The sequence below is a fragment of the Homo sapiens genome, chromosome 7 (assembly GCF_000001405.40).
Source record: "Homo sapiens chromosome 7, GRCh38.p14 Primary Assembly".
Taxonomy (NCBI): Eukaryota; Metazoa; Chordata; class Mammalia; order Primates; family Hominidae; genus Homo; species Homo sapiens.
The window spans coordinates 36,681,830-36,703,458 of NC_000007.14; the positions used below are offsets into that span (position 1 = coordinate 36,681,830).

General features: G+C 36.4%; 1 protein-coding gene across 14 annotated transcripts in view; it reads right to left on the minus strand.

Moving 5' to 3' along the window:
- AOAH (acyloxyacyl hydrolase) overlaps nt 1-21,629 on the minus strand; it is a 211,554-nt gene that overhangs the window by 168,889 nt on the left and 21,036 nt on the right. For 11 of the 14 annotated variants that reach the window (XM_017012102.3, XM_011515333.3, NM_001637.4 and 8 more), the window contains exon 2: nt 4,870-4,965. The exons of 2 other annotated variants lie outside the window; for them this stretch is intronic. In XM_017012102.3, coding sequence (XP_016867591.1) covers nt 4,870-4,965 — 96 coding nt within the window. Of the gene's footprint in view, nt 1-4,869; nt 4,966-8,267; nt 8,352-21,629 lie in introns of all 14 variants that reach the window. One more of the 14 variants, XM_011515335.3, reaches the window with a different exon arrangement.

The window sequence follows — 21,629 nt, forward strand, 5'->3', positions numbered from 1 at the left end:
ACCTGAATAGCAAGACCGAAAACCCTCAGAAAGCAGTTACCACAAAGCTAGGTATATCCATGAACCCCAATGTGCAATTAGGTGAGAATAAACCACTTCGCAACTGCAAGACCTATGGGCCATCAACTTCTGTGAGGGAGAAAGTAGAGGGAAGCAATGGATGACAGATAAAACTGAGAACAGGAGAATCCCCAGATAGCTGACAGGTGTTGAGCAGAAAGCATGGCAGGCCAATTAGAGAACAGCCACTGGACGGGGAGGGGTTTTGCCCAATCAATAGCTGGTGAATGCAAAGAGTTCAAGACTAGAAGGAATTAGTGGCTAGAGTCATCTGGCACCCACAAGGGACCCACTGGAGCTCCCTTCCAGGGCAAGGCCCACACTGAGGAGTAACTTTTGGGGATAGAGAAAGTCCAGATGAAAGTAAATAGGGAAACAGTCAGAAAAATCTCAGAAAGCAAGCTGCCACAATTTTTTTTTAACACTACCCCAAAACAACAGAAGAAGGAGCTCTGTGCATTTAGAAAAACTACCCCGAACCGCCTCTCTTTCTAAGAGTTTTTGAAAACTAATTTCACATAAAAATGAGCAACAGAAATGTATCTAGGTCAACTCCCATACAAAGTTATTATAAGAAGAAAAAGATTAAGGAACAGAATAACATCCCTACAGATAGTAAAAGCATGCCAGAAAGTCATGCCAAAAAAGGATTAAAACATAAGATATTATTTCTAAACATATTATTTTAAAATGAGCTAAGAGGCATTAATAAAATGATATAAGACATGAAAAAATAGCAAGAATAAGAATTAGAAAAACTCAGATATGGAATAAAAGAACTCAGGAAAAAATAAAACATGAAATAAAGAATAAAGAAGTGAAGTCTAAACTAGAATGAATACAAGAACAAGTGAAAACAGTAGATGAGGTCTTAAGTGAAATAGAAGGTAGAGAGGAGGAAAAATTTTAAGATAAAAATAAATAAAGAGATTAAAATAAATTCAAGAGATAGGCAAAATAGCAAAGACAGGCAATGAAGATTCAAAATGTGGATAATAGAAATCCCAGAAGAAAAAAACAAAATCAAGGAAACCGAACAAACACTAAAACATTCCTAAAATTAGAAAATATATATTTGAAATCACATTGAGAGAGCACACTGCATGCCTGAGAACATCAATACACAACAGCTGGCACCAAATTATCTTCTAGTTAGATGACTAAGTTTTATAGAAAAAAAATCTTCTGAACTTCAAAGTATAAACAGCAAATAACTTGTAAGGACAAGGTAAATTAGATTATCAATAGGCTTTTGAATACTATATTTAAGATGCTCAGGGAAAGACATCATGTGCCAAGGAGTTTTATATACAGAAAAGCATTGACTTTCAAGTATAAAGGGCGCAGACAGCCTGTTATCAACATGCAAGAATTCAAGGAATATTTGTAGCTATGAGCCCTTCTGGAGGAATGAACTTTAGACAACAATTCAACTAGAGAGAGAATTCATAGAAGGGCTGGTGGTGAACATTAATCATACAGTTGCTGATGCAGCTAAGACTAAATGAGGGTGAAAAGGGAATAGGTGTTATATGTAGTGGCTATATGCTCAGATAAGGTAGGACAATGATTCAAAAGGGTGGAGAAATGGGAAAGGCATATGCAAAAAAACAATTTTAACTGCTCATAAGAATTAGAAAATATATTAATGATGGTATCATTAGAATTGATATTCTGAGACTGTTTTATGTGCAAGGAAGGATAGGTAAATGAGTAATGATTGGAGATTTTAATTCTATCAATCCCTTTGTGCTTGACAATTGGGAGTTTGTGTGGAAAGGAGATACAGATATAATACAGAAGACATTAAGAAAAAAATATTGTGGTTCTGAACTTGAATTTGAAGTGTCAGTATGAACTCAGATATTTTATCTTAAAGCTGACATGTGTAAATGTATATACATGTTTCCTATTTCTGTCCACTGAAAAGGCCTAGAAAGAATGGGCAACTCAAATTAGCCGGGTGCGGTGGTGGGCTCCAGTAATCCCAGCTACTCAGGAGGCTGAGGCAGGAGAATCACTTGAACAAGGGTGGGAGAGGTTGCAGTGAGCCAAGATGGAGCCACTGCACTCCAGCCTGAGCAACAGAGCAAGACTCTGTCTCAAAAAGAAAAAAAAAAAGAGTGGCCAACTCAGTAACAATGAACATTCCTAAGCATCTGGTTTGTGGTGTTGAAACATTATTTCTCACTAAAAGAAACCAGGGCTTTTAAGAGAAATGACTGATTTCAAGCCTCAGGCTTGATATGTACCAGATAGGGCTGGAACACTTTGTCATACCAGTTAGTGAGGAAACTATCGAAGGTTACTGAGGCTCATGTGCAAAGGACTTGAGTCAGCTTGAAGGAGGTGCCACTGGTCAAAGCTCGATGGGATCATCTGAGCTTCAAAAGGATAATAATTGCACTTGACTGAAACCCATCAGGTGTGTTTAAGTTCATAAGTTTATCATGATATTTTAAGGAAAAACTAACTGCTTGCTGTGAGATGATAACAGAAAACCAATGCACTACCTTGAAAACTGATACAAGAAAAGAATCAAGCATTTATCCTGCCTTTCCTAGATGCCTTTCCACTAAGTACTGTGGGAAAAATGTTTCTAAAATATGATGTGAGAAGTGTCCATTATATGTCAATTAATAAATAAGAAATAATAGATAAGAATATCACAGTTTTAAAACCCAAATAAATTAATAGATCTCATCATTGAACATCGACAGCTGCGACCATCACCAAAAGAAAGTCCTGGCACAGTGGCTCACAACACACCTGTCATCTCAGCGCTTTGGGAGGCCAAGATGGACAGATTACTTGAGGCTAGGAGTTAGAGACCAGCCTTGGCAACACAGAGAGACCCTGTCTCAGCAAAAAAATTTAAAATTAGCTGGTGCTGGTGTGATGCTGTGAGCCTGTAGTCTTAGATCCTTGGGAGGCTGAAGCAGGAGGATCTCATGAGCCCGGGAGGTCAAGGCTGCAGTGAGCAGTTCACCCTGGGCGACAGACTGAGACCTTGTCTCAAAAAAAAAAAAAAAAAAAAAAAAAAAAAAAAAGAAGAAGAAGAAGAAGAAGAAGAAGAGAGAAAAGAAAACATGAAAGATAAAAGCACCTATGGCGGCCTCCTGATGAAGGAAAACAATATCATTTATAGGCTTGTCAAAGAAATCAGATTGGAATAGGATCAAACCTCTGATCAAGCTGCCAATTTTCAGGAAATACAGAGCACAGAGAAACATACTCAATTATACTAAAGGAATGCAATCAACACCATCCAGACTGTGGGAAACTCTACAGGTCAAATTCCACAACTAAGTGATAAGAAAAAGGAAGGGGTGGAAAGGAAACTTATAGATTAAAATAGACTCAAAAGACACATCAAACATTTAAATACCGGGCAAGGTTACGATATCTAGGGATGCTCACTGAGTGATAAAGCTATAAATAAAATAATTTTACCATAAAAATCAGCACATTGAGCTTTTTGCAGGGGGAGGATGGGATGGAGCATGTGGATGGGACTTCAGGGGAGGCCACTGATCTGTTCTTTCTTGACCCAGGCTATGTTTCCTAGGGCATTCATCTTTCAGTAACGGATGAAGCTATACATTTGCTTTGCGTGGTTTTCTACAGTTGTCTTGTTTTTACAAAGAAAAACCAAAAACATTACTGGCAAAACAATATTACACATTATTCATGAATCCATACAAGTGAATGTGTAAATATAAAATCTGATGAGAATGATACCCATTAAGTTCATGTGAAGGGTTCCTTCTAGGGAGGTGGGGCAGGGGAGAATGGAACTGGAAGAAGGGAAAGCTGAAGTTTAGCTGCCATGTTTTAACTTCACAAAAGAAAGATGTAATTATGATGTGAATATTTTAAAATCTTAATGGTCCATTTGGGACATTCTAAACACTTGTGTTTGTGTATTATCCTCTCCCAGTCTTTGTTTTTGAATTCTAAACATTTTAGCCTGTGAATGCATATTATGACTAAACGGAACAACTTCTCTGAAAAGACTTTGATGCTATTGGCACAGCATACTGTGTCAATCAAAGATACAATTGCCATTATTCCAACTACCTTACTTAACAGAAAAAATAATGTAGGCACCCTAGATGAATTAGTTCCCATTAAGTGAATAAAAATTTGACTGTCAAAGAAGTTTATTCATTACGACTGTTCAAGTAACAGTATTCTATAATGGAAATATGATTAATATTTTATTTCTACTAATATTGAAAAAGAAATATGCAACTTGCTTGAACCACCAATCAGTTTCTACCTTTGGTGGATGTATAAGGTATTTTATTGAGATCTAGTTTAAATTAATGAAATGTTCTAGATTATTTTCCCATTTGAAATTTTGAGATCAGTTGTCCTCTCAACCCAAAGTTCTGTGTTGGTAGGGCTAGGTGTACATCTTGGTATGTGAATGTTGGTCAAGTTAACACAAAATTATTGGAAGTTATTCATTATTTTGACTTCTTAGTACTTAAGGCAATGATCAGTAAGTAGGCAAATTATTATTAATGTAACACATCAAACAACAATTGGCCATTCAACATTTTATTCCCTAAGGGTCCACAGCAATTTCATTGTGCCATGATGGAAAATGAATGTCAGGGAGAAGTTGCCCAGAGCATTTTTTTTTGGTTTTAATTTCTATAAGCCCCACAAGAATATCAACCCACAGAAATAGCATAATCAGATTCTTCTCTGTAAGTGTGGGCAGGAAGTAAAGGCAGTCATCATGACTCATGAGTGAGAGGACAAGCAGACCCTCAGCAGTATGACTCGTCCCATATTTACCAGGCAGGTAGCTGCACAGTCTCTCCATCGAGGCCTGGACCGTCGAGTTGTGAACTTGAGCAAGCTGTTCTATTACAGACACCACCAGCACACACCCTGCCAGGGAGGAGAAGAACATGTAATCTGTGTCACACAGAAAACTGAACTGGAGGGACAGGAGAAAGAAAGGATGCGTGTGTGTGTGTGTGTGTGTGTGTGTCCTTAAGAAGGCCAACCTTTCCAAAACAGAGAAAGTGATGATGTTTAAATGAGATAGTGCAAGGAAAACAGCCCACATGGAGCAGAAGCTCAATAGATATTAGCTTCTCTCCTCCCCCACTTTCTCTCCTTTCTGCAGTAGATGGCTGCAGAATAGGATTGTTCCCATCCTACACATTCGCTTGGTAGAAGGAGAATCCAGGATAAAATTTTTAATTTTGGAAAAGCGGTGGAAATTGCCTGGCATTTGAAGTCGAAAGATCTAGGATTAACTCCTGACTTAGTAATCTTGAACTCACCATGTGGCCTTTCTGAACCTGGTTTCCTCCTTGAGAGGCAGGTAATATGTTTCCCATAGGGCTGCTGTGATGGTTAAATGAGATAAAAGTGAGACTGAGTGTGTCTTTGAAATCATAACACACTGTAAAATATTATTTTGCCTCACAGCTATAAAGCATACTACTTGAAAGCATGCAGGAACATGATAAGTGTCTAGGTGGACACTTGTATTAAGTTAGGAATATATTCCTTCTGTTACTTTGATATGTGGTAAGTGTGAATGCCTAGAGCTCCTAGGCTGACATTCCTAGAAGATTCTATCGCTTGCCTTAACTCACTGAGCAGCAGGGGAAAACCAAACCTTTTTTTTTTTTTCCAAAGAAAAGGGACTCTTTTTTTCGTATAAACAAGTGGTTGGTCAAAGATCAGTAAGTATGTGAGAAGAAATTTTTAGATCTCATTGCAGTAAGAAGAGTGGACACTTGCTGGCAGAGGTTCATTTCTAAGGGGGCAAAGGAAGGTTTATGTCCTACAAAATGTTCCAAGGAGCCTGGGCCAGCAGTAGGCTCTTGATTGTCCATCAATGCAAGGAGCTAGAGACCCACATTTACATACGTGGTGTCATTTAAACCAAATTCCCAGCAGGATTCCTTGAGGGAAGGTGGCTGATAACGGATATGAACAATAAAATTGGACATTCCTATACATAAAGATGTAAAATCTTCTATAAAATGAGAGATTGCCAGTGAAGAAACGAGAGTCTTCTACTTTCTAGATGCTGCAATATCTGATGGTGTTTTGGCCTCGATGTTCTGTCCCCTCTCTCTGGACAAAGAGAAAGGTTCACCACATCTCTGACAGTGAAATCTGGATTACCACGGTCTTCCTGGGCTCTGAGAGTACCTACTTAAGGATGCATTGATCACCATTAATTATCAAGGTTGATTGGCTGTGTTTCTAACCTAATGCATGGCACTCGAGGATTTCATTACATTGCAATTAATTTAGTAGCTGACGCTTATCAGCACTTTATGGTCTTGCATTTTCATATATATTTGTTTTATTTAAAAAATAACTTTTCAAAAAATATAAACACAATGCAACCTTATTTTTTAAATTTTACAAAATACAGAACAGTATAAGAAAAGATAATAAACATCACTCAACCCACCCAGACAGAGATAACCAATTTCACTTTTATTATGAATATATCCAATACATTTAATACAAGTAAATATTTTTGGCATTAATAATGTACTTTTACACCCTAGTTTATGTCTCTGATAATAAATAAATTATTAGAGAGCTAAATAAATTTTAATAACTACAACTAAAAAATAATGATAAGTAATTATATTGCTGTGATAAGAGGGTGCAGTATGGTGTAGTTGAAGAGAGAGAGGCTTTGACATAAACTTGAGTTCAAGTACTGGACCAGCCACTTACAAATGGTGTGACTTTGAACAAGGTACCTACCTTTCTGAAAATTTATTTCTAAGAGTTTAGAGTTAGACCATATGTTCCTTAAGGGCAGGAATGGGGTCTTACCATCTCTAACTCTGAATTCCTGGCACAGTGCCTGGGTTGGAGAATAAAGGCAAGAGACTTTGAGTATATATATATACACACACACACACATATATTTATGTGTATATATACATATATATATGTGTATATGTATATGTGTATCTATACACATGTATATGGGTATACTTGTGTGTATATACACATGTATATGTGTATGTACATATAGATGTATATATACATACACACACATATGTATGTGTATATAGATATATATGAGATGAGGTCTTGCTATGTTGGCCAGGTTGGTCTCGAACTCCTGGCCTCAAGTGAAGAGCCACATAAGTTGCACTGCAGTGGTTGGTTGCTGGGGGCTCCCTAGCAAAGGGCTAATGGATGCACCTTTAGTTGCTTCCCAGCTCAGTCATCTCACCCAAGTTGCTTCCTCTCTGTTCCAGTCTCCACTTGTGGACATGGCTCCACTCCTTATTCTGGCATGAAACAACCAGTGTCCTCTCTAGAGCCAAACAGCAGCTTCTATAGCAAGTGGTCATGATGTGCTGCTGCTCACAATCAAGGAAGAATATGGTGGAGACTGGGTTGTATGTTAGTCTGTTCATGCAGCTATAACAAAATACCTGAGACTGTGTAATTTCTAATAATAGAAATTCATTTCTCATAGTTTTGGAGGCTGGGAAATTTAAAATCAAGGCGCCAGCTGATTTGGTGTCTGGTGAGGGCTTGCTCTCTCCTTCATAGATGGCACCTTCTGCTGCATCCTCAAGTGGCTGAAGGGGCAGAAGTGCTGGAGCATTGTGTCCTCCCACGGCTTTGATGGGCCCCTGGTGAATAGAATATGATCTTTGTTCACAGGAAGCTCACAATGAACTTCCAAAAATCACATGAACTGGATGGTAAATACCAGTCAAAAGCTAGGGAAGATGTGATTTTGGAGAGACCATAACAGGCAGGAGAAGAGCTGGTGAGAGAAGAGGCACTCCCAAGAGAGAAAAAAGACTCGGTGGCCTGAAACAGCCTGGTATATTTCTCCATATGTTTCTCACTTTAATTAGCAGCAACTTTTCTCACTAATACCTAAAATAATATTCTTGCAATCAATGGCATAATAGACTTGATGAGATGCAAGAATTGAAAACCAACAATAGTTTGGTGCAGCAGGAATAGTGGGTGATCGTAGGGCATAAGGTGACCTTTCCTTGGAATTCGTCCTTGAGGAGTCTCCATTCCTATGACCCCAGTGATCATAAACCTTGGATGCTGTTTCCTTTCCCTGAAAATTCAACTCCATCATTAGCATTTGTTTTAATCCGTGGCTTAGAAGGATAAATGCAAAGCGAATGGGGCAGCTTGAAACCAGCCTGCTTCTTTGTACTTACACATATGGGCTTTTCTTCTGAATTTCACTCAGAGAAATCCCATCAAGGACTCTTATGACAGTTGTGGCTTCTCAGCACTGCTGGCTAAAATTGGAAAATCATTAGCTAGATAAAAAGAAGCAAAAAAAATTATCTGTCTCTGAACACTGGGTGAGTCTTACCGCTATCGTCACTTTGCCCAGTGAAGAGTTATGATGATCAAAAGGACCCTGCAGGAAAGGCCATAATGGGGTTTGAAATCATGAACACCCAGGTTGGGCTCAGCTCTGATCTGGAGTCCTGCTCATTCAGCCATCTCCGCCTGTCTCCAGTGGGCTCACCTCCCCTTCCAGTTGAATTGTTAATTTCAGGTGTGCAGTGAGATGTGTTCTGAATCCTTTAGCAGCAAAAATGGAGAAACTGACTTTTCTACAGTTTCTAATAAGAGGTTTCGCTTCCTTGACAGGCTAACGAATGTTTTTCCTGGGAGAGATGCACGGGCAGAGTAATTCCTCCCATTACAGACTATTCTCTGGCTGCTAATAAAAGACCTGGCTCTGTTAAAGTGAATTTGTCAGAGTTGCTGTTCATTTAGGAAGTGAGAAGAGGGGGCGAGAGCTATGCATTTTGCTCAGTGGTCACCATCTGAAATCTCACATATGGAAAATCTCTTCTCACCTGGTATCTGAAAATAATGAGTACAATAGAAACAGACACTCCTGGTAGCACAGGAAAAGAAGCAAATGGGCCCGAATAAAAACAGCTGCCAGAGGGATCACATCTGGCCACATACCTCAGGTAGACTGCAGACTGGGCCAAGGAATCCTTTTGATGTGAAACAGGCTCTTGAAACTCTAATTATAATCATATCTGTGCTGGCTGGAAATACAGCCAACTGCAGAGAGTGGTCTATTAGATTTCCCATTTGTCTGAAACCCACACTTTGCTGAAAAGCCTTGAAAGCACCTGGCAGTTGTCAGAGCCACAGTCAGCATGACTATACTTCCTTTTTGACCCTGAGTAGAAGCATGAATAATTCATCACATTGCTAGAGTGTACCTTACGGTTTTCAAAATGTTTTTTGCATATATTATTATCTCATTCAAACTTCACAACAACTCATAGATCTACGAATTATTACTCTCATTTTACAGATGAGCACATGGAGGCTGAGTGGATAAGTACCTTGCCAAGTATACAGCTAGTAACAGGGGAAATTGAGACTTGAACACAATATTTGGTGAAAAGAAAAGAAGAAAGAAAGGTGTAAAAATAATCACCTAAAATGTATCTTACTGCTGGCCTTGTTTCCCTAAGATGCTAGTTACTCAGAGAGCATGGCACACAACGCCGGTGTGAATCTCATTGCACCTTACCCTTTCTTTCTTCTGCTTCCTCATCTTAGAGTCTGGACATGGATAGAGAGAGACAAAGGAGGAGAAAGAGAATGGAAAGGAGGAAAAGGAAGGCTACCTAAGGTGCTCTGGTATAGTAGAGAGTAGAAGAATTGGGAGGTCAGAGAGACCTGGACTCAAATACCCCTTCTATTACTTATGAATTGGTGCATTTGGTAGGATTTTGGCACCCATGGAATGGAATAACAATGCCCCTTGTTTGGTATATTGGAAACAGCCACATAGTTTTTGCACTTCCTCCCATGAAGTGATGGTGTCTATATCCCAGCCCTTTGAATCTGGCCTTGTGACTTGCTTTGACCAGTATGTGAAGGAAGGGACAGTGTGTCAGATTGTAACTGAGTCCTCCAACAGCTTTTCAGCTTCCACTTTTGCCCTCTTTGACACTGCAGCTGTGAGCCTGAGCCAACCTGCTGGAAAGGCCCCATGACGGAAAACCGAGGTGCTTCAGCCAGCAGATCACCTAGATCATTCCAGATCACCCTGTCCCTGCCATTTCATCATCTACCAGCTGAGCGCAGCTGCAGGAGTGAGCCCCAGGAGACCAACTGAAGAATTATCCAACTGTGCCCAGCTCACAGAATATCTTGGGCTCATAAATGATGGTTGTGTAAGTGTGGGGTGGTTTGTAATACAGCAAAGGCTATCTGTACATCTGGCAAAAGTGTCATGAGGCTTACGTGATACCACACATAAAATGCACATGGTGCCTGGCATGGAGCAGGCATTTAGCAAACATTAGTTCCTCTCCCGTCTACTAAGGCCACCACAGGGAAGACACATCTTCTCCACGAACTCTTTGAAAAATAAAGGCACAGAAGCTCATCTTTGAAAAATATGTTGCATTATCAACAACATTTTTACTTTCATAGGGCTGAATCTTCTTTTATTGCAGACAACTAGTGTTTTCATTACATTTGAGTAGATTAGACTCTGTGGCCTAACCTAACTACTACTTGAAACATTTTTTTTTTATGAGAAAATGCTCAGTGGGTTCAAAATTGCCAACGTTGCCAAGAACATTGTCAACCAGAGAGGCACTGTTTTGGGCAATTAGTGGTGAAAACAAAGGCTTAGGGCATTGATAAGTGAGCAAAGCCCAAGCAAGGCGTGAGAAGAAATGAGCAGGCTGTGTTAAGAGACATAAGGTGACTGGTTTAGCTGATTTAGAAATATACTAAAAATGAAAGTGAAGATGTCAGGACACATTCATCCTGTCATTTATTCAACGTGTACTTTTCAGCACGTACTATGTGCCCAGAAGCTTGAAGAGACACATATGAATAAAAGAAGTCACAGACAGGTGGGGCAAACTGATATCTAAATAAACAATCCCAGAAACCCGTAAGTATTGTGATAGAGGAACCTGGTAGTGCTTTGGGGACACACTGGTGTAATCTCTCAGTGATAGCCTCTCAGAGGAGCTGAGTCTTAAGGGATAGGAGGAACTCATTCATCAGAAAAAGGAGAAAAAGCTTTCCTACTCTTAAAAAAGTGTAGGATTTTTTAAGAATTGGAGGTAAGAAATAGAAGAGTTGGCCAAGGCTAAAATTCAGAGTCAGTGGGAATGGAAGAGTGAGAGAGGTAGGAAGGGGCTAGATTGTGAAGCACCTTGAAGGCCATACTACAGACTATAGGCTTCAAGAAGTAGTCTAGAGTGCAGACTGTGAACTAATGGTTTTCAATGTTTTGCTCTGTATCTTCTAAAATAAATTTGAAAAACTACAAACTTACACATTTTAATGGATATCAAGAAATTATTAATGGATATCTATCTAGTTACAAAAGATATAAATTTGGACAGACTGTAAATATTACAGTGGAACTGTTACAGTAACCTTCTATGTGTATCCAAAGGTATCTAAATACTATAGTGACTTCTACCTAGTCTCATCCACTTAAAAATGAGACTTTAATCTTATTTCACACTGATTAATTTTGCATTGATAATTCCTCTTCTTGAATTGAAAAGCCCACCTCCTTGAATTCTTCTTCAACCACAGAATTTTATCCAAATTTAATGTATTTTTATAGTTGAAATTATTTTTTTGATCACACTATTGATCAATAAAGTATTAGTATTGATCTCAATACTAAAAACGTGTATAAAACTTAAAAATTTTAATTTCCTGTGATACTTCAAGTTTGGAGTCTGGATTGAGCTTTCTTTGTTAGTAAAATTAGCTTATCTAAGCAACAGATTGCCAATTTGATAAACTATTATTAGGCGATAAAGGTAAAATGTTATTGGAATTGCACCTCTTAATGACATTTTTGAGACTTTTTAATTGGTACCTATGTCTGTTGAGAAATACCACTTATTCATGTAAAGTGACAAAGTTCAGCATCACTTTTGTTCCTCTTTTTCATTGTTAAACACGTAAGTACTGAGAAACATGTTTACTTGAATAAATAGATCAGAATTGAAGGACCTTTGATATAGCAATGTCACAGAATTCTTTGAACTTCTTCTGAGGTAAATGCCAAACATGTTGGAGTGAACTATCATTGAACATTATTTTAAATGGTCTATAAACTGACAATTTCATTAAGTTCCCCTTCCATTTTACTGGAAGCAAAGAACTAGATACTACCTGACTTATAAAAATACGTTAAATCAATCATCTTTTACTTTCTCATTTTTTTGTGGGGGGAGTATGCAAAAAAATTTATCGCAGTTACTATTTTACTTAGCAAGACCCTGTGAAAGCCTAATGCACTCAGGGCCAGGTGTGGTGGCTCACGACTGTAATCCCAGTGCTTTGGGAGGCTGAGGCGGGCGGATCACCTGAGGTCAGGAGTCTGAGACCAGCCTGCCCAACATGGCAAAATCCTGTCCCTGTTAAAAATACAAAAAATTAGCCAGGTGTGGTGGCATGCACCTGTAATCCCAGCTACTTGGGAGGCTGAGGCAGAAGAATAGCTTGAACCTGGGAGGTGGAGGTTGCAGTGAGCCGAGATTGCACTCCAGTCTGGGTGACAAGAGCAAAACTCCATCTCAAAACAGAACAAAAAACCACTCAGAAATAACTGGATAATGAAAATATTGTCCTTTTCAATACACTTTTGTCTATACTATATTTTAAAAAAAATCCTTTATCTTAAGGTGTGCTTTATATACATTTTTGTCTAATGTTGGAGCTGAGATTTACTTCATTCAAGTTATAAAAAATGTCCTCTGTATAAACCAAAATGACAAATCCATATTTTATTATTAAAGAAATTAATCAATCGATTTTTTCTTTCAGAAGAATGTAACTTCATTTTTCAACTCACTTCAATATTTGCATTCTAAGGCCAATAGTTAGACATAAAAAGATATAGAGAATGGGATAGATGATAGAAAAATGAATGGATGAGTGGATGGATAGATTGATGGATGAATGGTTTCAAAGAGGATAGACAGATGATGGATGGAATGGATATATAGGTAAATAGATAGGGAGAGAGGGAGAGAAAGAGAGAGAGAAATAATTTTACACTCTGCCCAATATTATTCTGTCTTTATACACAAACCTACTTGCTAAGGTGGAAAGTTTTCAACTGACAACAAATGCTTACTACTGCCAAAATTTTCGCAATTGTTTCATTGACTGTCTATTTAACTGTTCAAATTTAGAAATATAACAAAAGAATAGAAGAAGATCCAAAGCCCACAAATGTATACCTAGACAATTTTGAAAGAAAATATACCAAAATACCAAAATATCAATAGTGATCATCAGGATTTGGGAATTGCAATTGATTATATTTTTTAAAAGTACTCTTCTATATCCAAATCTCTGTGAAAACCATGCATTCTTTTATAATTAGAAAAAAGCAAATTCTACTTTATCAAACATAACTTATTAAATATGTTTCTTAATAGCTGCCTTCTACCTTAATACTTTTTGGAACAACATGAAATATGAAAATTTCTAGAATACCATTTTGTGTTTCAGGATGTCTGCTAGGCGTTTTTTACAAATTCTATCTCATTTAATCTTCACAATGTTCTCATAAGATTGCTTCTTTCCACATTTCCTTAGAAATCTGAGGCCCAGAAAGGTTAAACAATGTACTTTAATCCTTTCAGATCAGCAGTGGCTAACCAGTGATTCAAATTCTGAACTATTTTACTTTAAAATTTATATTCTCCTAAGTGCCACACTACATATATTAAAACAGCATCCTTCCAAATTGAAAATTATCAATCATGTTAATTAAAACAATCATTGCTATACTAACATCTATGGGATTTGCAAGTATTGCTTCCAAATCTGTGGCTAATCTTTTGGTTTTGTAATGATGCTTTCCGGAGAGCAAAGTGGTTAAATTGGATAAAGTACAACTTATCAACATTTCCTTTTGGACAGTGCTAAGAATCTTTGCCTCATTCAATGTCACGGAGATTTCCTTTTAGAAGTTTTATAGTTTTAGCTCTTACCTTTAGGTCTATATTCTATTTTGAGTTCACAATTGTGTGAGGTTTGAAATAAGTATCTAAGTTCTCCCTCATCCTTTTTTTACATATAGAATCCCATTATTCCATAACCATTTGTTAAAAGACTACCCTCTTGCCATTGAATTATCTGGGAAACTTGGTTGAAAATCAGTTGCCTATAAATGTACCAGTTTATTTCTGGGCTTCCTATTTTGTATCACTTGTCTGTGTCTGTCCCCACACCAATACCACACTGTATCAGTTACTGTAGTACTTACAGTAAGTTTTGAAACCAGGTAGTGTAAATTCTCCAATACCGTTCTTCAAAATTGTGGCTGTTCTGGCTTCTTTTAATTTCTACATAAATTTTAGAATCAGTTTTCCAATTTCTACAAAAACTCCTATTAGGATTTTGATTAGAATTGTGTTTAATCTATAGATCAATTTGGAGAGTGCAGCCATCTTAACACTATTGAATCATGACACATTTCTTCATTTCCATAAAGCCTTCTTTAATTTCTCTTCGCAATATTTTGTAATTTTCAGTGTAGAGTAATAGCGTTTCTGCTGTTAAACTTATTCCTAAGTATTTTTATTAATTATGAGTAAGATTGTTTTCTTAATTTTAATTCTTAAACGTTTGGTGCTAATATAAATAAAAAATCAAGCCAGGCGCATTGGCTCACGCCTGCAATCCCAGCACTTTGGGAGGCTGAGGCGGGTGGATCATGAGGTCAGGAGTTCAAGACCAGCCTGGCTAACATGGTGAAACCCCGTCTCTACTAAAAAAACAAAAATTAACTGGGCATGGTGGTGCATGCCTGTAATCCCAGCTACTCGGGAGGCTGAGGCAGGAGAATTGCTTGAGCCGAGACCGGGAGGCGGAGGTTGCAGTGAGCCGAGATCATGCCACTGTACTCCAGCCTGGACTACAGAGCGAGGCTACGTCTCCAGAAACAAAAAAATCAATTTTTGTATATCAATTTTGAATCCTGCTAAACTCGCTTATCAGTTCTAGTAGTTTTTTTTGTAGATACCTTAGGATTTTTCTATATTTAGGATTATGTTGTCTGACAATACAGTTTTACTTACTCCTTTCCAATCTGCATGCCTTTATTATTTTTCTTTTTTTATTAAACTGAATAGAATCTTGAGTACAATGTTGACTAGAAGTGGTGAGAATGGACATTTCTACCTTCCTCCTGATCTTAGGAGGTAAGCATTCAGTCTGCTATCATTAAATACAAAAAGTCACAAGTAGGGTTTTCATAGATGTCCTTTATCAGGTTGAGGAAGTCACCTTTTCTTTCATAATTTGTTGAGAGACTTTAACATAAATGGGTGACAAATTTTTTCAAATAATTTTCCTACTTCTATTGGGCTGACAATGTAATTGTGGCCTCTATTATACTAATTTGGTGCATTCCATTAATTGCTTTTCAGATGTTAAATAAGCATGCATTTTTAGGATAGACTCTACTTGGTCATGGTATATTATTCATGTTACATGTTGCTGGATTCAGTTTGTCAATATTTTGTTAAGGGTTTTTGCATCTGTTTATAAAAGTCTGTTATTTTCTTTCCTTGTGATGTCTCTGTCTGGATTTACATGACAGAAAAACATAAAATAAAGTGAAATGTGTTTCTTCCTCCTCTATTTTATGAAAGAAATTGTGTTGGATTGGCATTATTTCTACTTTAAGTACCTTACAGAGTTTACTAGTGAAGCCATCTAGGCTTGGGATTTTCTGTACCTGGTTGAACAGTGCCCTAAAATTCATGCCCTTCCTGGGACTTCAGAATGTGCTTTATATAAAATAGGGTTCTTGTAGATGTATTAGTTAAGGTGAAGTAATACTAGGATAGAGTGGTCCTTAATCCAAAATGACCAGTGTTCTTCTAAGAAGAGAGAACCACACTCAGAGAAGAGAATGCCACGTGAAGACAAACACACAGAGGGAAAATGGCCAGGGGATGATGTGGGTAGGACTGGAGTTACACAGCTGTAAGACAAGGAATGTGAAGGATTGCTGGCAACCACCAGAGGCTAGGAGAAAGAGGTGGACACCTAAGTGCAGACTTCCAGCTTTCAGAATTGTAAGAGGATAAGGTCTTGTAATTTTCAGCCACCTAATTTATGGTAATGTTTTTATAGCATCCCTAGGAAACGAATACAATTTCTAATTATGAATTCCATTTCTTTACTTGGTATAGGTCTATTCACATTTTCTATTTTTTCTTAAATCATGTCTCCTTTCAGAATTTGTGTATTTTATCTAAACTCTCCCTCTACCTTCTTGGCACAAAATTGTTTACGATCTTTCCTTATGATCCTTTTAATTTCCTTTGGGTCTACAGTGATGTCCCGTCTTGTTTTATTCTTGATTTTGATGGTAGCTTTATGTCTTCTTTTTAAATGATCTAGCTAAAGGTTTATCAATTTTATTGATCATTTCAAAAGGACTATATTTTGGTTTCATCGATTCTCTCTATTGCATTCCTGTTTTTTATTTTACCATTTTCTGCTCTGATCTTTATTATTTCCTTTCTTCTACTCATTTTGGCTTTGGATTCTTCATTTTCTGGCTTCTTGAGGTGGAAACATATTATTAATTTTAGATTTTTCTTTTTAATATGTGTTTAAAGTTATAAATTTTTCCATAAGCACTGCTTTAGCTGCATTCAATAGATTTTAATATATTATGTTTTCATTTTCACTTAGACCAAACTATTTTCTAATTTTCAAATAATTTTACTATTTTTTATTGATACATAATAGATATACATATTTTCAGGGCACCTGTGATTATTAATACAATCATATAATGTTTAAAGATAAATCAGTGTAATTGGGATATCTATCATCTTAAAAATTTGTCATTTATTTGTGCTAGAAACATTTGAATCATTCTCTTCTAACTATTTTGAAATGCACAATAGGTTATTGTAAACTCTAGTCACTCTACTAATCTATTGAACAGTGGGTATTATTTCTTCTATCTAGGTATGCATTTGTACCCATTAATCAACCTCTCCTCATTCTCCCCTCCCCCTATTCTTCCTGGCCTCTGCTAACCACTACTACTCTATCTTTATGAGATCCATTTTTTTTTATCCCACATGTATGAGTGAGAATATGCAATAATTGTCTTTTTGTGCTTGGCTTATTTTACTTAATATAGGAACCTCCAGTTACATCCTTGTTGCTGCAAATGACAGGCTTTCATTCTTTATTGCGGTGGAATAATATTCCATTGTGTATCGTACCATATTTTCTTTATGTGTTCATCCATTGATGGGCACTGAGGTTGAGTTCATATTTTGGCTATTGTAAATGGTGCTGCAGTAAACATGGGAGTTCAGATACTGCTTCAATATATTGATTTTCTTTCTTTCCAATATAAATACAGCAGTGGAATTGATGGATCGTATGGTAGTTCTATTTTCAGTTTTTTGAGGAACTTCCCTACTGTTTTCCACAGTGGCTGAACTAATTTACATTCCCACCAACAAGGATTCCCCTTTCTCCACATCCTTGCTAGCATGCATTCCTCCCTGTCTTTTTAACTGGGGGTGAGATCATGTCTCATTGTAGTTTTGATTTGCATTTCTCTAATGATTAGTGATGTTGAGAATGTTTTTCATCTACTTGTTGTCCATGTATATGTCTTTTTTGAGAAATATCTAGTCAAACCATTTGCCCATTTTTAAATTGGATTATTTGTTTTTTTTTTTTTTTTGCTATTGAGCTATTTGAGCTTCTTATATATTCTTGTTATTAATCTCTTGTTAGATGGATAATTTGCAAATATTTTCTCCCATTCTGTGGGTTATGGCCTCACTTTGTTTATTGTTTCTTTGCTGTGCAGAAAGCTTTTAGCTTGATGTAATCTCATTTGTCTAATTTTCTTTTTGTTGCCTGTGCTTTTGAAGTCTTACACACAAAAATTCTTTGCTCAGACTAATGTCCTGGAGTTCTCCCCCAATGTTTTCTTCTAGTAGTTTTGTAGTTTCATGTCTTAGATTTAAGTTTTTAATCCATTTTGATTTGATTTTTGTGTATGGTAAGAGACAAGGGTCTAGTCTCATTCTTATGCACGTGGCTATCCAGTTTTCTCGTAACACATATTGAAGAGACTGTTCTTTCCCGGTTGTATGTTCCCGGTGTCTTTGTCAAAAAATGGAATTGGCTGTAAATGCATGGATTTATATTTATTTTGTAATTTTCCTTTGATTTCTTCTTTTTCTCATTTTTATCTTTCTTTTAAAAAACATTTGTATACATATAAGGGGTATAAGTGCAGTTTTATTACATGGATATATTGTGTAGTGGTAAAGTCTGGGCTTTTCGTGTAACCATCACCCAAATATTGTACATTGTACCCATTAAGTAATTTCTCTTTCCTCACTCCTTTCCCTTCCTTCACTTCATCAGTCATAATTATTCCACACTCTATGTTCATGTGTATACAGTATTTAGCTCCTGCTTATATGTGAGAATGTCTAATATCTGACTTTGTGTTTCTGAGTTGTTTCACTTAAGATAATGGCCTCCAGTTCCATCCATGTTGTTGCAAAAGACATGATTTCATTCTTTTTTATGGCTGAATAGTATTTTGTTGTATATTTATACACATATATACACACCATACTTTATCCAATGATCCATTGATGGACACTTAATTAATTCCATATATTTGCTATTGTGAATAGTGCTGCAATAAACAGAAACATATGAGCAGGTGTATTCTGATACAATGATTTCTTTTCCTTTGGGTAGATGCCCAGTAGTGGGATTGATGGTTTGAAAAGTAGTTCTATTTTTAGTTTTTTGAGAAATCTTCACTGTGTTTTCCACAGAGGTTGTACTAATTTGCATTCCCACCAACAGTGTATAAGCCTTCCCTTTTTTCTACATCCTTTCAACATCTGTTATGTTTTGACTTTTTAACAATAGCCATTCTAACTAGCATAAGATGATATCTCATTGTGGTTTTAATTTGCATTTCTCTGAAGATTAGTGATGTTGAACATTGTTTAATATGCTTGTTGGCCATTTGTATGTCTTATTTTGAAAAATGTCTATTCATGTCCTTTGCCCACTTTTTAATGGAGTTATTTAGGGCTATTTTGTTGAATTGTCAGAGTCTTTTTAAAAATTTTTTTAAGGAGGTGTGTTGTATTACTTCCACCTATTGTGGTATTTCCAAACTTTTTTCTATTGTTGATTTCTAATTTAATTTGAGAAATATTTATGTGATTTCAATTTTTAAAAATGAATTGATAATTACTTTATTGCATAACACATGGTCAATCCTGGAGAATGGTCCATGAATACTTTGTTGTCATTGAATGGAGTGTTCTGTAGATGTTAGGTGGTCAAGTTAGTTGGGTTATTCAGGTCTTCTGTATCTTTACATACTTTTTGTTTAATTCTATCGATTAAGAAGAGAGGAGTGTTGAAATTTTCAACTCTACTGTTGCATTGCCTGGTTTTCTTTTCAACTCTTTCAGTATTTGGGGGCTTTTAAATTAAGTTCATATACATAATTAATATTGACAATTATATTATATATAAATATAATAATTATTATTTCTTACCTGATATAATAGCCCCTTTTTCATTATGAAATATACCTTTTTGTTTTGGGGATTATTCTACATCTTAAAGTGTATTTTTCTGGTACTAATATATTTATCCCTATTCTCTTACAGTTACTATTTTTATGATATATGTTTTTCCATCCTTTTATTTTCAACCTATTGTGTGTTTGAGTCTAAAAGTTATCTCTAGCAGACAGAGTATACTTAGATGTTGCCTTTTAAAATCTAGTATAATCATGTTGTCGTTGATTGAAGTGTGCAGTTCATTCACATATAATGTCATTTTCATATGGCAGCTATTTTTGGACATCTTGGGTTGCTTTTTTGCTCTTCTTGTTTACTATCTGTTTTGTGGGAAACAAGTATTTTTTGCACTATTTTACTTCCTCTCATAACATTTTTTAGTAATTTCTTATTTAGATGTTCATATTTCCAGTGGTTACTGAGATTACAATGTGCATCTTTACCTTATCATAATGTATTTTAAGTTAGTACTGATTTAATTGTGGTAAGACTTCACAACTTTGCTCTAATATTGCTCCATCCTCACCTTGTATTTGGGCTATTTTTGTCATACATTTTATATCTATAAGTGTTATAAATACAACAATACAGTTTTATAATTATTGCTTTAAACAAATTTTTATTTTGAAGTAAAGTAAGAGAAGTGTTTGTGTGTATGTGCATATACATATATACTGTTATTTTATATTTATCTACATATTTACATTCCTAGTGCTTTTCATTCCTTCCTATGGATGCAAGTTACCATGTGGTGTTATTTTCCTTCTGTCTGAAGGACTTCTTTTTTACCATTTCTTGTGTGGCATGTCTGCCAGCACTGAGTCTTCTCAGTTTGGTTTATCTGGGAATGTGTTTATTTCACTTTCATTTCTGAATAATGTTTTAACTGATTCAGAACTCTTGGTTGATAACTTCTTCTTCCTCTGAGCATTTTAAGTATGGGTATATCTTGGAGATATTCAGTTCCAGACCACCACAATAAAGCAAATAACTCAATAGTCACATGAAATTTTGGTTTCCTAGTGCATATAAGAGTTTTATTTATACCATACTGGAGTCTTTTAAATGTGCACTGGCATTATGTTTAAAAACAATGTACATATCTTAATTTTAAAAAGACTTTACAAGTAAAACTTGCTAGAGATCATCTGAGCCTTCAGCAAGTCATAATCTTTTTGCAGATGGAGGGTCTTGCCTCGATGTTGTTGGTTGTTGACTGATCAGGGTGGTGGTTGCTGAAGGTAGGGGTGGCTGTGGCAATTTCTTAAAATAAGACAACGAAGTTTGCCACATTGACTCTCCCTTTCATGGAAGATTTCTCTGTAGGAGGCAATACTGTTTGATAGCATTTACCCACAGTAGAACTTTTCAAAATTGGAGTCAGTCCTCTAAAACCCTGCTGCTGCTTTATCAACTAAGTTTATGAAACATTCTAAATCCTTTGTCATCATTTCAGCAATGTTCACAGCTTCTTCAGAGTAGATTTCACTTCAAAAAACATCTTTATTTGCTTAGCCATAAGAAGCAATTCCTCATCCATTTAGATTTTATCATGAGATTGCAGCAATTCAGTCACATTTTCAGATTTCACTTCTAATTCAAGTTCTCTTGCCATTTATATCACATCTGCAGTTTCACCACTGAAGTCTTAAACCCCTCAAAATCATTCTTGAGGGCTGGAATCAACGTTTGCCAAACTCCTCTTAATGCTGATATTTTGACCTCCTCCCAGGAATGTTCTTCATGGCATCTAAAATGGTAAATCCTTTCCAGAAGGTTTTCAATTTACTTTTCCGAGATTCATCAGAGGAATAAGTGCCTATGGCAGCTATAACTTTATGTAATGTATTTTATTTCTCTTTTTAAATTATACTTTAAGTTCTGGGATACATGTGCAGAACGCTCAGGTTTGTTACA